We start from the raw sequence: 13,334 nt of genomic DNA, 5'->3' as shown, positions 1-13,334 counted from the left end.
GTTTGGAGAGGGTCGTGTGGCCCATCCTTGCCACCCCACCATTCCCTGCCCATGGAGTGTGCACCTCAGGCTCACACAAAGTCTGCACCTGCCGCTGTGGTCATGGTCACTACATGGAGGCAAACTAGGACAGGCAGACAGTGGTCTCTGCGTCTTCCTCCAGAGTCATCTTTGCAAGGTTCTTCACACCCCAGGCAGCAGCCACCCAGCCAGAACCTTAAGGACCTGCTCTCATGAGCAGGTGTCAGCCCTTCTGGACCCAGCTAAGTCCATAACAGGTGATGTCTTGGGAACTAGCTGGACAGAGATGCCTCAGCGCCTGCTTCAAGGGTGGGGGCAAGGGATCTCAATGGAGGCTGCCCTCCTTCTCCCGCCTCCCCAGCTGGCCCGGGGCTCTGGCAGCTGCTGGAGCTGCTGCTCCAACCCACACAGCAGCCAGTATCGTGCCCATGGCTGAGAGGGTACCCCGGAAGCCTCTGGCTTCCCTATTCCCAAACAGAGAATCTGAAGGAACATCACACTCTACTCCAGCCTGGAAGCTTCTCGGCTCATAGGGAGCTGCCGGCCAGGGCTGCTCCAGGCACACACATGCGCCACCCTCCTCCTTTGTCTCAGAGGGCAGCTTCCTCCCGGGCCCTTCGGGAAGTGCACATCTGATTCTTCAGCAGCTCCAAGGCCTGGAGGAGGTCGCTATACTGGTCACATAGTAGAGGCCCCTTACCTCTGCCTGTTGTCAACCCCCAAGAGGTCCCACTGCACATCCATCATGTCCATTGCTGATGCCCCAAGCCCGGCACAGAGATGGCCTTCTGAAAATAAATGTCTGCAAAGTGAGATGCCAGGATCCATTTCCCTGGACATTTTAAACAAACCACAGCCCCAGCCGTGGCTGCCTTCGCCTTCCTCTGGTGATCCTGCTCTTCTCTGGCCCGGCCTGCAGTTGTCATTTGCAGCAGAAACTTGGCATCTCCCCCGTCTCATCACAGAAGAATCGATGTTTCCTCCAGCGTCCGGGCCATTTGTCACAAAGGAGATGCAGAAACCACAGGGTACGCACCGGGTACCTGGTGACTGTGTAGCTGCATTGGCCCCACTGCTGATCATGGGGACCGTGCAACCCTCAGAAGGGAGGGCCGGTGTCCTGGTACAGATGACAGAGCTGAGCCGTGAAAAGGACGAGTGGCTTGCCCAAGGCCATCCAGCTAATTTGGGAGAGCAGAGCGGGGTCCTGGAGCTGGGTCCCTTCGCTGGGTTTCTTTCCATCCATCCACTCAGCTCCAAGGAGCCTCTTCCCCCACCACACCCCCGCCAGGAGATTGGCTCCAAGTTCTCAGAGTCATTCTCAGTATAAGAAGCAGAGTCATCTTCTAAAACATTCCCAGGGGAGTCACCTGCTCTGAGAAAATAATAACTCACCACATCAGACTCGAAACGGTGTGTAAGGACGAAGTACACATCTTCCAAGAGAGGCCTCGGATGCTCAAAACTGTGTTTCTGCAAATCAGGAAGTAAGGGCGGCTGCTGTGCCAGGCTCACGGCCACTTACTCCTACTTTTCCAGCTCGCTCCACACTCCTGAGACAAAACGCAGCACTGGGGTTCAGCTCACCTGCTGTGAGCCAGACAGAAAACTTGCAAGCACTTCCCCAAGCCCACAGCTCTAGTTGGCCTCCCTGCCCTCTCCAATGCTCAGAGCAAGCTCAGGGACTGCCTTGGAGTTTGCAAAGGGGCATCATGAGGTTTTAATCTCAAATATATTACATTTGAATTCAGATCCCTTTACTCTGTCCAAACAAATTAGCCTCCCAGGAACACAGGGCTGAGCCTCCAGCTTCTCCTGCTAAATGGAAAGATGGCCACCTGCAAGGCCAGCAGGCCTGGACACTTTCTCAATTAAAAGTTGAGGACAGCTCTTCTCCCATCAAGTCTGCCATCGGGCCCCCGTCAGTCCGTATCCCTTGCCAGGGGCCCTCCTGCCACGGATGCCTTGCCAAGTGTCTAAAATGGTGAGTACTGCTTTTGCTTAAAAGACTGCTTGGCCGAGGGTCCCACCAGTGCCACACTTCTCTGAAATGTATCGATTTGTATTCCACAGTTCAAGAAAACTAATCTGGATCATAAAAGCCGGAGTGGAGAACTATCAAGCTCAAAGGGTGGTGTTTGAGCGAGGGCTTCTCTCGTGTGAGAATTAGTCATTGATCTTCCCTGAGACGTTTCAAAGAGGAGCCTTCAGTGACATGATCCAAACACATTCTGATGCGGCCGACAGCTCAGCCCGGCAGCCAGTGCCAGCTCCGTGCACAGAGGAGAATCCCAGGCTCCTCCTGCCTGAGCCACCCTGAGGCCTGCACGTGTGGGCTCAAGGGATGGGCCCCCATCAGAGAGAGTTGGGAAGAAGCCCCAAAATGGACTTTCTGATTCCAGTACCCAAACACAAGCCCAGGAACAAGTCAAGTCACAAGAGACTGCATCCATGGCTGCTTGTCAGAACCCATGTTTCCTGCCCCCTTTAACTGGGTTTAACAGTGTCCCCCACAAACCAGCACACAGAACTTAAAGTATAATTTTAAAAAAAACAGTGTCCCCCAAAGATTCACATCTACCTGGAACTCCATAATGTGAGTGTATTTGGGAATGAGGTCTTCACAGATGTAATCAGTTAAGACGAAGTCAAACTGAATGAAGGTGGACCCTAACCCAACGTGACCAGTGTCCTTATAGGAAGAGAAAACAGACACATAGGGGTACACATGGGGGAAGCCACGTGGGGACAGAGGCAGAGACCAGGAGCTGGGTGAGGCCAGCAGCCAGCCCTGCCTGCACCTTGATTTCAGGCTTCTGGCCTCCAGGACTGTAAGAGAATCAATTTCCATGGTTCTAAGCCCTCCAGGTCGTGGTAATTTGTTCTAGCAGCTTCAGGAATCTACCACAGCCCCCAGACTTCCAGCATGGTCACAGACCCACCAGGCAGAGCTGAGCAAGCCATCTTCCACGGCCCTCCAATGGGGCTTCCTCCCAGGGCCACAGCCTGGGCTCTAGGGTCCTGCCCCAAGGTTCACATCTCATCAGTCCTGTAACCTCGGAGACAGAGCATTTTACAGCCCCGTGACGACACCCCGACAATGCTCACTCTGCATTTCCTGTGTGTACCATGCCAAGGAGGCAACTAGGAAGAGGACCAGTCATCTGTCTCCACCAAGCCTTCATCCCCAAGGAACCTCCCTGGGGAGCTGAAACCCAGGAGGCAAATGACTTCTGTGGAAGTCGCGATGCCAAGTTCACTACTTTTTCCTCCTTGCAGCAGCTGAGCTTGACCTATACACCTCCATCACCTGCTTTTCTCCAGGGAGCGGGGTGGGGACCTTGCATGACTGCTCCTTGTAATGAGTCTTTGGAGGCAACAGGTTCCTGGGCAGGGCCCTCAGTCAGCCCCTCCTCCTGCCTGTCTCCCTGGATACACTGTCATTCCGATTCCCTTGTCTGTCCTTCCGGTGGATGGAGAGCTGCCCAGGACAGGGCATGAGGCTGGGCCCAGGAGACGCAGACACCATGCACAGGAGTCCACGACTGACACCTCTCTGGAATCAAAGCCAAGAAAACACTTCCTACAAGTCACCCTGAGATCAAGGGCAGACACAGAAGAGAACTGGCCCTAATTTGCAAATCACCCCAGTGGGCCCTCCCAGTGGGAGGTGTGATTTCTCTTAACCCCTTCATTCCTGGTCAGCTGCAACTCCAAAGGCCAGGTCCTTCTACCTAACAAGCCCCCCCACCACCACCACCTCTAAGACTGGTGCATTATCCGATGGTTTTGATCAGCGATTTCAAGACCATCTGGATGCCAGGGTGCTGGAAACTCTTGCCAGCTCTTGAAATAACTCAGCCTGGCTTCATTCACAAGCAAGCACAGCTGCCCTGCAGTTTTAGGTCAGGACACCGGGTGGGGGCATGGGATGAGGCAGTGGGGCCCTCAGAGCCAGGCTGAGAAGCAGCCGGGACCCGTGAGGAGGGGGTCAGTGCTCAGCCCCCACTCAGGGCTGTCCAGCTCCCTCAACCACCTTCCTTAGAAGCAGAGTATCCCGACACCTCCAGCACGGCTCTGGGGTTTCCAGCCGACCTTGAACCTGGCTTGTCTCCTTCCCTGGCACAGAAGTTCTGCTCTTCACAGCCTCAGGGTTTGGCACCCCCCATGCCCCCTCAGCCCCCTTCCTCCATTCTACAGCCAGTCTCATCTTCCTCTTTCGTTCCCACGAGGAGCCTTCAGCTTCTGCTGTCCCCTGTTGCCACAGAACCACAGAGCAGAGTTCTGCAACCTGGAAGGGAAGCCCCCCACCTCCCGACCCTACCTCCTTTCCCAGACGGGACCTCCCCATCCTCCTCCCAACCTGTCAGGGTGGTGAACATCTAATCAGATCCACCCTCCTAAAATGTCTGTGGATGGCAAAGGTAGAGTAAGAATGTGGATTCAGGGCATGAACCCAAGAGGCGAGCTGTGTGAATTACAGAGGCCACATGGGCCAGCGGGGAGAGTCTATGGGCAGGAGGGCCTTGTGGTATCCTAAAAATCTCACCATCTCCTCATCACATATGGCTGTCAGAAGGACCTCAGAGTGAGAGGGCTCTGAGTTCGAATCCTGGTGTCCCAGCTCAATGGCCCTGGGATCCCATTCACCTTCTAGGCCACCTCCACGACGAGGGGGGCATCCGGGCATCTTGCTCACACAGGCAGGATTTAATAAACTTCCAAGTGCTGCCTCCTGTGCTTTGTGAACCTAGGAGCACACACAGACGTAAGAGGCATTTTCACTCACTTCCCGAGCTTTTCCTGAGAGTCCATGCGGTGTGCCAGGCACGACTTAGACCCAGCAGTGCATAGCCCTCCCGTACATCACCCCTGTCCAAATAAAGGCCCTCTGGATGGATCTCTGCAGTGGGATCAAAGGCCTGGCTTCCCAGTGCAATCCTGGAGGCAAAGAGCTAGAAGATGAACCTTCTTCAGATCTGAATCGCCCCAGAGCAAAGCCGCCCTGGCAACTGAGAGAAATGAGTTCCAAAGAGGTGGCAGTAATGATAGGGTTCCTAGAACAGTGTCATGGCTCAGGACCAGGGCAAGACAAAGGGCCTTGGTCTGCCGTATGTCCTGGTGCCTTTCGAGTTCCCTGCCAGAACCTCCTACTCTTTAGGAATCCCAGGCAATCTCCGGCCCTTAGCGAGGCACACTGCAGGACGTGCCGTCCCTGCCTTTTGCAGCGGAATCACCTCTGAATAATTCACAGGCATTATTAAGTCAGGTCTCACATATGTAAATCCATGTGGATCTCTAATCAAATTACGGCAAAGTGGATGCCGTTAAGCTCTTATTAGCAGTAATGGTATTTTAAAATAATAGAATATTTTTGAGGTGTGTGATGGAGTTTTTAAGTACTTTTGTCATGTCAGCTTTCAGCTAGCATCTGTAGTTCCCTCTGGCCATTAGTTGTGCAGGTAATTAGAGTAATAGTCAGCTTCGGCTGCAGGGACAAACAATCCCAATATCTCAGGAGTTGACCACGAGCGGTTGGTTGTTTATTCCTCACGCACACCATGGCTGAGACTGGCTGCGGCCCTGCTCTTGTCCGCTGGGCTCTGTTGGGATCTGCGTGTCTTTCTTTTCCTAAAACTCAGGCTGAAGGAGTGCCCAGACCTGGGGCTCACTGTTCTCAGGAGCAAGACAGGTAGGGCCAAACCACCTGTGCACACTTAAAGTTTCTGCTGGGAGCAGGCTCATCACAGCGGTTCATATTCTTTAACCAAAGCAAGTCCCATGGCTGAGCCCAAAGCGAAGTGTGGCATGAAAGCCCACTCTGCCCTCAGATGAGCAGGGCATGAAGGGAGGTGTTACAGGTTCATTATGTCCCCCTAAAAGATACGATGAAAACCTAACTCCCAGGACCTCAGAATGTGATCTGAGTTGGAAACAGGACCATTGCAAATGGCCCCTAATCCAACGTGACTGGTGTCCTAATATAAAGGGGAAATGTAGGCCAGGCCAAGTGGCTCATGCCTGTAATCCCAGCACTTTGGGAGGCCAAGGCAGGCGGATCACAAGGTCAAGAGATAGCGACCATCCTGGTCAACATGGTGAAACCCTGTCTCTACTAAAGATACAAAAATTAGCTGAGTGTGGTGGTGGGCACCTGTAGTCCCAGCTACTCGGGAAGCTGAGGCAGGAGAATCACTTGAACCAGGGAGGCGGAGGTTGCAGTGAGTGGAGATCGCACCACTGCACTCCAGCCTGGCAACTGAGCGAGACTCCACTCTCCCCACAAAAAAGGGGGAGATGTAGACCCAAATGTGCACACAGGGAGAATGCTATGAGAAGATAAAGGCAGACATGGGGATGATGCTTCCAGGAGCCAAGGAGCACCAAGGAATGCCTGCAGCCTCCAACAGCTGGGGAGAGGCCCGGAACAGAAGCTCCCTCAAGGCCTCAAGAGAACCAACCCTCCCTTGATCCTGGACACCTTGATCCTGGATGTCTGGCCTCCAGGACTGGGAGAGAATCAATGTCTATCGCCTAAGCCAGGGGTCTCCAGCCCCTGAGTCACAGACTGGTACCAGTCTGTGGCCCATTAGGAACCAGGCAGCACAGCAGGAGGTGAGCAGCAGGTGATCAAGCAAAGCTCCATCTATATTTACAGCCACTTCTCGTTGGTTGCCTTCCTGCCTGAGCTCTGCCTCCTGTCAGATCCGCGGCAGCATCAGATCCTCATAGGAGTGTGAACTCTATTGTGAACTGTGCATGCGAGGGATCTAGGTTACATGCTCCTTATGAGAATCTAATACCTGATGATCCGTCACTGTCTCCCATCACCCTTAGATGGGACCACCTAGTTGCAGGAAAACAAGCTCAGGGCTCCCATGGATTCTATGCTATGGTGAGTTGTATGATTATTCTGTTATATATTACAATGTAATCATAATAGAAATAAAGTGCACAATAAATGTAATGCACTCAAATCATCCAGAAACCATCTCCCCGCCCACAATTCGTGGAGAAATTGTGTTCCATGAAACTGGTCCCTGGTGCTAAAAAGGTTGTGGACCGCTAGTCTAAGCCACCCAGTTTGTGGCACTTAATTATGGCAGCCCCAGGAAACTAATAGCGGAGGAAATAAGTAATTGGGAGAAAATAATACCGGAGGCCACTGCGGAGTGGCCAGGAGAGTCTCGGACAGGCTAAGGGCATCTGCATCGCTGGCACTGGGTCTGATCAATGCCGTGTGTGCCTTGGGGCTTAACTTTCCTCTCGCTTCTGCTTCCTGCGAGCGTGAGTATGCGTGGCTCTACCCAACAGCTTCTGCTCTCCTAACAGGGAGCTTTGGGGGCAGGAGCTGCAGTTTCAGTCTCGGGTTATGACTGGCGGGTAGTGGCTGCAGACTTTTAATGTTGCAGGTGTTCTGACGGCTGCCCTTGGCACTCTAAGACAATTCCATTTTTGGTGCCCCTACCTCTTCTATGGAGAAGCTCAGGGGCTCACTGGGAACACACAAGAGGCAAGGGTTCCAGAGAACAACTGGATGTTGAAGTCACGCAAATCTGCATCCAGACCAAGCTCTGAGGGTAAACAGAGAAAACACTTTTCCCTCATCTCTTCCACCGAATGCAGCTGTGAGCCCTGAGCAGAATGCAGGCAGCAGCCCCGCCGCAGATTGAGGCAGACTGAGGACGAGGGCCAGGATTCAACACCCTATTGAGCCAACACTGAGGCTACCATTTTATTTTCCTCAGGTATCCCCCAGTCTAGACTCAACACAGCCCCATAACCCACAATCAACATAATGTGGACAGAGGGTGCTACAGAAAAGCCCTCTAGCTCTGGTTTGCAGAAGGAGTCCCTAACATTCAGGGAAAGCAGGGGAAATCTCCCTCTCTTTTCTTTCCTTTGTTCTTTCATGCCCCAATCCCCAGGCAATCCCACTGTGGAAGCAACATTAAGAGCAAGGGCAAGAGCCCACAAGAGCCTAAAACCTCAAGACAAGAGAAGCTTCCTCTCTGATTGGAGGTGGGCGCTGTGCTCCCCAGAGAGTGGGATAAACCCCCATTGCTTTTATTCTCTCTTTGTCCTCCCATCTTCTGGCTCCAGGAAGGATTAGTTGCAGGAAGTACATGGCACAGCAGGGTTTAAATAAAGCTGAAAGGGGAGTTCTAAGGAATCAGAAAATTCCAGGGAGATTGCAGGAGGGAGAGCCTGGAAAACTTCTAGGCTTATTTCTAAGCTGCACATGTGTGGATCTGATCCTATACATTGTGAAAAAGGACTTTGAGATCTGAGCTAAGAGACAGACTAGGTCCTGGGTCCCAGGCTGGCCACTGAGTGGCACACAGGCAGGACAGATCCAAATACAAAGACTGAAAACCAAACTGGTGCTGAAACCATGACCCTCAGCAGGCTGGGCATAACTGATGGCTTCAACATAACTAGATGAGAGCCAGCCAAATTAACAAAGATTCTCAATATTCTCAATAAGATTTAATTATGACCCAGAGACCCATAATGCATATTCAGAATATCCAGGATGCATCCAAAATCACTCAGCATCTAAAGACCCAGAAACAACTCTACCCACGAGAAAAGACAATTTAATAGACACAGATGCCAAGGTGACACAGACGTTGGAATTTTCATACAGACTTTAAAGCATCTACTATAAAAATTATCCCACAAGTAAGAGGAAACACTCTTGAAACTAATAGAAAGAAAGGAAGTCTCAGTAAAGAAACAGAAGATAAAAACCAAAAAATATATAATCACAGTAATAAAAAAAAACTTCACTGGGCAGGCACAATAGCAGAAGAAAGACAACAGAGAAAAGAGTCAGGGAACATGAAAATATCTCAATAGGGAATTACCTAACCTGGACAACAAAGAGAAAAGAAGTGGAAAAAAATCAACGATGACTCAGGGAACTTTGGAGCAACAGCAAACTGACCTCTGACCTTTGCTACCCTAGTGTCATTGGAAATGTTTCCAAACTTCTCTGAACCTCAGTTTCCTCCCCTCCAAAGTAGGGGGTAACTTTTCTTTTCAACGGACATGGTCTCATTAAATCCTCATAACAGCCAACTTACATAGGTATAGGTAATAGTTCCTTCATTTTACAAATGAGGAAACTGAGGTCAAAAGTGGTTAAAAATCCTTACCCAACTCAGTGTCACTGACACACCAGATGCAGAACCCACATTGCTACTCTTAATGGCCATCCTCCTTCCTTCAGTAAATATCCATGCTGCTGCGTGTGGGGTGATGGATGATGAGTGGGCATCCATTTGGCATATTGAGACAGGAGATGTGTGGAAACCTTAGGTGCCTGAATTCTAGTTCTTGCTTTGACACAAACCAAGAGCATGATGCAGAGAAAGTTACCTCCCCCATCTCAGCTAAGCTTCCTCATCTAGAAAATTGAAGCGCTGGATTCTATTATCTTGAAGGTCATTGCCAACTCTGGCAGTTAAGGATTCCAATCATCTTCCTCCAGGGACTTGCAACTATTTCCTGAGTGTAGCATAGGTTCATGCGCCAGTTGCAAAGGGGATGGTGCTGTCCTGAGCGCTGAAGGAGAGACTTCTGCAAGCCTTGGGAGCCGGCAAGTTTTCTGAGCAATGCCTTTCCCTGGGGCTTCCTCCAACCTTTCCTCATGAGCTCCACTGAAAGCTGACTCTGTTTATGAGCACATTTCATGCTGGAGGGGGCTGTTCAGGTTAATCCATTTTCTCTCTCAAACTCCTGCCTCTTGCAAGTGTGCTTAAGACTTCTCTGCCCAGCCTTGAAATGCTGCCTCCCAGGCTGTTTGTGCTCTCAACCACATTCTTCCCTGCCTTTGCCCAGCTGCAGTTCTCTAAGTCCTTCCTCCACAGGTCATACATCCCTTGAACATTTACCTATGGGGCTATAGTCTGCCAAGTCTGCCAGTCTGAGGGACCCTTAGGTTTGTCTGTGACAGACAGAACCTACCCATGCTCTGGCATCTTTCTTTGAAAGGTTTTCTGGGCCCTGGATCAGGGAAAAAGATCAGGGACACTATAGATCAAGCTTTAAATTCAAGTGGGCAGCACCTGGCTTCTCAAAGCACAGGCTTTCTGAGATCTCCAAGCCAGGTGACTGGACTAAGTTTGAGAACCAAAGAGGAATTAGACATGGAATGAAGAAAGCATCATCTTAGTCAGGAGAGTGGGAGATGGGTATTGTGAGTCAGCTAGGGAGCCACGTTCGCTAGAGGTTTTCATCTCCCCACTTATTCCTTCCCTTCTGAAGTGACGCCTGAAATAAACCCAACTCCAGCCCACTAAAGCTAAAAGAGGGTTTTTTGAAGGATCTTGAGGGATCTCACCAAATTCAAGGAAGAGTTAATGGGAAGAGCAGGGATTATGATGGGCTTCAGGAACGGCTTGATCCAGGAGTCAGAGTGCTTGGGTCACCTCTTGAAATACCTCATGCTTCTCTGCGCACATCTGTTTCAGTCTCCTCTCCTGCTGCAGATTGGTCCTTTTTTTGCTTCCCAGACCTCATGGAAGAAACTCTGGACTTCAACAGCTTTGGTGTTTGATGTGTTACTGTTTCAGCCACCCAAAGAGAGACTGTTTCAAATTTCCCTGTCTTTCCCAAATCCAAAGCTGCCATGGAAGGGATGTGATGGCCTAGCTTGGGTGAGGCACTCACTGCTGGACAAATCAACTATTGCCAAGGGGGTAGTGTTGTTCTTGGAGTCCTCTGTGTGCCACTGAAGGGCAGGGCATGGTTGAGATAGGAACAGGAGGGGCAGAGACTCAAGAGCTGGTACACACAGGCACTTCTCAGCAACGTGCCACACACCCTTCCTTGTTCTTGACTGTGAGAATGGCCTCTAAGGTGGGCATTGGTGATTAGCAATCTGCTTCAGAAATTCCTGAAGCTGATCAGCTCCTCCTGACACCAAGAGTCCTCCTCTCTGCCCTCCACGGCTTCCTTGTGCCTCTTTCACACCCAGAATCACCCACAACCTGAAGCAGGTTGGATTCCACTCACACAGCAGGCTGGAGAAGCTCTCAACTCTCCTTTCCCCACTCAGTCAGCACATTCCTGCAGCCTCTTCATCCTCCGGCTCTGGACCCAGGCACAGAGCTCCAGGCTGGGCCAGAACTCATTTTTCACCCTCCTCACCAGCCAGTCATCCTCATGAGATGCTCTCCTCGCCCCTAACCTTCCCGTGCCAGGGAGTTTTTTTTTAGGAATTCCTTCCCCCTTGAGGGATTTGTCAAGGCTCCCCCAGAAGCCTTTCTCTGATGCATTTGGATCTCGATTTAAGGAACAGCTGCCCTGACTGACACATACTTTCATCAACTTCTTTTTCATTTGTATTGAATTCCGTTTTCCCTTGGGCTTACTTTCAAAGAAGCTTTATCTTCTCTTCTGCTGGATCTTTACCTGAATATGTCCTGATATTTCTGCTGTGAGGTCCTCAGTCTGCCCATTCCATCTGCCACATCCCCGAAGAACACAAACCTGCCCATGCACCAGAGGAGTCCCCAGTTTACAGGAGGGAGTCATTGGGAAAATAGAGGATCTTGCATTCATGTGAGTTTCTGCCCACATCCTCTTCAGGGCCCTAGAAGTTTCCACATGTTAATGAAAGGTTTTTTCTTTTCTAAACCTCAAGTCGTGTTAGCTACCTGACTCGTCTGCAGCTCAATTAGTCTTGGAGGAAGACTAATTGTTTCCAAAAGGTCTCTGGGACAGAAACATGATGTGCCGCCAGGGTATTTCTCGAACAGTCCCTCCAGCCCAAAGATATGCTGAAAAGCCTGCTAAAGGGGCATCTGCTCTGTATCTGAGGATTTAACCTGAGTTGCTAGATGTCTGGGGGGGCAGTCCGGTCTCTGAGTAATGCAGACGTATCCAATGTGTAGACACCATCCGCCCATGGAAGGCCCCACCCTCCTGGTCACCTGCTTTGAGACACATATTTCCCACAGGACAGCCCTTTGCCTATGAAGCCATCAGTGAGTCTCTGCTGCTTTGCATTGAAGTTGATACGTGGCAGGGCCTGGCCCTCCACAGGCTCCCACGCCAGCAGGTACAGATAAAACATACAGATATTTCACGTGGTTCAACCTCTTGCTTGGCAGGAACTCAGAAGAGGAAGACCTTGCCCTTCACCTAAGAGGTCAGAGAAGGCTTCAATGGGGCATTTGTTTTTAAATTGGTCTTGATGCAAAGGCCTGAAAATGGAGAGAAAAGATTGTTTCTTTTAAGATGATCCAAGAGGACTTTTCTCCTAGTGCTCAACCTTAGTGAGTCTTCATAGGAAAAATGCTGGAGCCAGGAATTAAACAGGATTACATAAGCATGCTGAGAATATCAAAAGACTCGGATCTACTCCTCCTTGTGAAGTTTCTTAGGAGTGTCAAACAAAAATAGAGGGTTTTGATGCCATCCAGGAACAAGAATCCATCTCTTCCAGACGGTCTTTCTTGAATTCTCTAAATTCCCACAGTCGCTCCCTTCTTGAACCCCTGAGGGTCCCCGCTGAGGTTTCAGAACTTCCTACTGGGAGAGGTAACTATTGGTTTGCCGTGGCTACATTTAGCCTCCCTAGCCAGATTATATGTTTTGTGACAAGGTCTGGGTCTGATTCCTTTTTAACACAGACGTGCGTACATGAGCTCACATTTACAGACACGGGTCCCAGCCTGGCCTTGTATTAAAAATCAGCACCTTTCCAAAGTCAAGTGGTAGAAAACCCAACTCAACTGGCATTAGGGAAAAAGGGAACTTATGTGTTTGCTTAAAGGAGGAATCCGAGGTGGTCTTTCTTCATTGCTTCAGGTGTAGCCTTACCTCCAGGCTCTGCAGAACTGTTTCTCTCCAGCTCTTGGTTTTTCCTTCCCATTGTGTTGGTCTCATTGCCCCACTCCACTTGGTCGCACTGATTCTTCAGGCTCATGTCATCTTAACATTCCAACTACCAGGACAAAAAAAAAAATGCATACCCCTTCCCAAGAGGACGAGGCTCAGCCCCACTGCATCTGGCCGACTGTGACTGGAGCACGTGCCCACTCCAAAGCCTTCACTGTGGCCATGAGTGTGATGCTCTGGGGGGCCAGAACTCAGTCCCATGTCCGGTCCTGGAGCCAGAAGTAGCAGCAACTCCCCGCAAGCATCGGCACTGAGAAGGGGAGAGGGGTGACTGCCCAGAGGGACGTGAGCGTCCTGTCACCAGGGCGAGCGGATGGCGGGGGGCAAAGTCAAGTTCCCTGCAGGCATCACCAAGTGTCACTTTCCTGCAAGGAGTCCCAGCACCCCGCAGTCTCCCAGCC

At 50.9% G+C, this 13,334-nt stretch overlaps 3 annotated features.

Moving 5' to 3' along the window:
* Window positions 3,559-4,061: an enhancer, noted in NCBI's record as "H3K4me1 hESC enhancer chr1:4179041-4179543 (GRCh37/hg19 assembly coordinates)". NCBI's record gives its function as "activates a minimal SCP1, AML or CMV promoter by ChIP-STARR-seq in naive H9 embryonic stem cells {active_cell/tissue: H9 hESC(naive)}" and the evidence as "EXISTENCE:reporter gene assay evidence [ECO:0000049][PMID:30033119]".
* Window positions 4,062-4,566: an enhancer, noted in NCBI's record as "H3K4me1 hESC enhancer chr1:4178536-4179040 (GRCh37/hg19 assembly coordinates)". NCBI's record gives its function as "activates a minimal SCP1, AML or CMV promoter by ChIP-STARR-seq in naive H9 embryonic stem cells {active_cell/tissue: H9 hESC(naive)}" and the evidence as "EXISTENCE:reporter gene assay evidence [ECO:0000049][PMID:30033119]".
* Window positions 11,601-12,800: an enhancer, noted in NCBI's record as "BRD4-independent group 4 enhancer chr1:4170302-4171501 (GRCh37/hg19 assembly coordinates)". NCBI's record gives its function as "activates an origin of replication core promoter dependent on BRD2, P300/CBP, MED14 and CDK7 cofactors, and independent of BRD4, by STARR-seq in HCT116 cells {active_cell/tissue: HCT116}" and the evidence as "EXISTENCE:reporter gene assay evidence [ECO:0000049][PMID:35650434]".

The sequence above is a fragment of the Homo sapiens genome, chromosome 1 (assembly GCF_000001405.40).
Source record: "Homo sapiens chromosome 1, GRCh38.p14 Primary Assembly".
NCBI lineage: Eukaryota > Metazoa > Chordata > Mammalia > Primates > Hominidae > Homo > Homo sapiens.
Note: the sequence above shows the minus strand (reverse complement) of the source record. Positions and strands in the feature narration are given on the sequence as shown.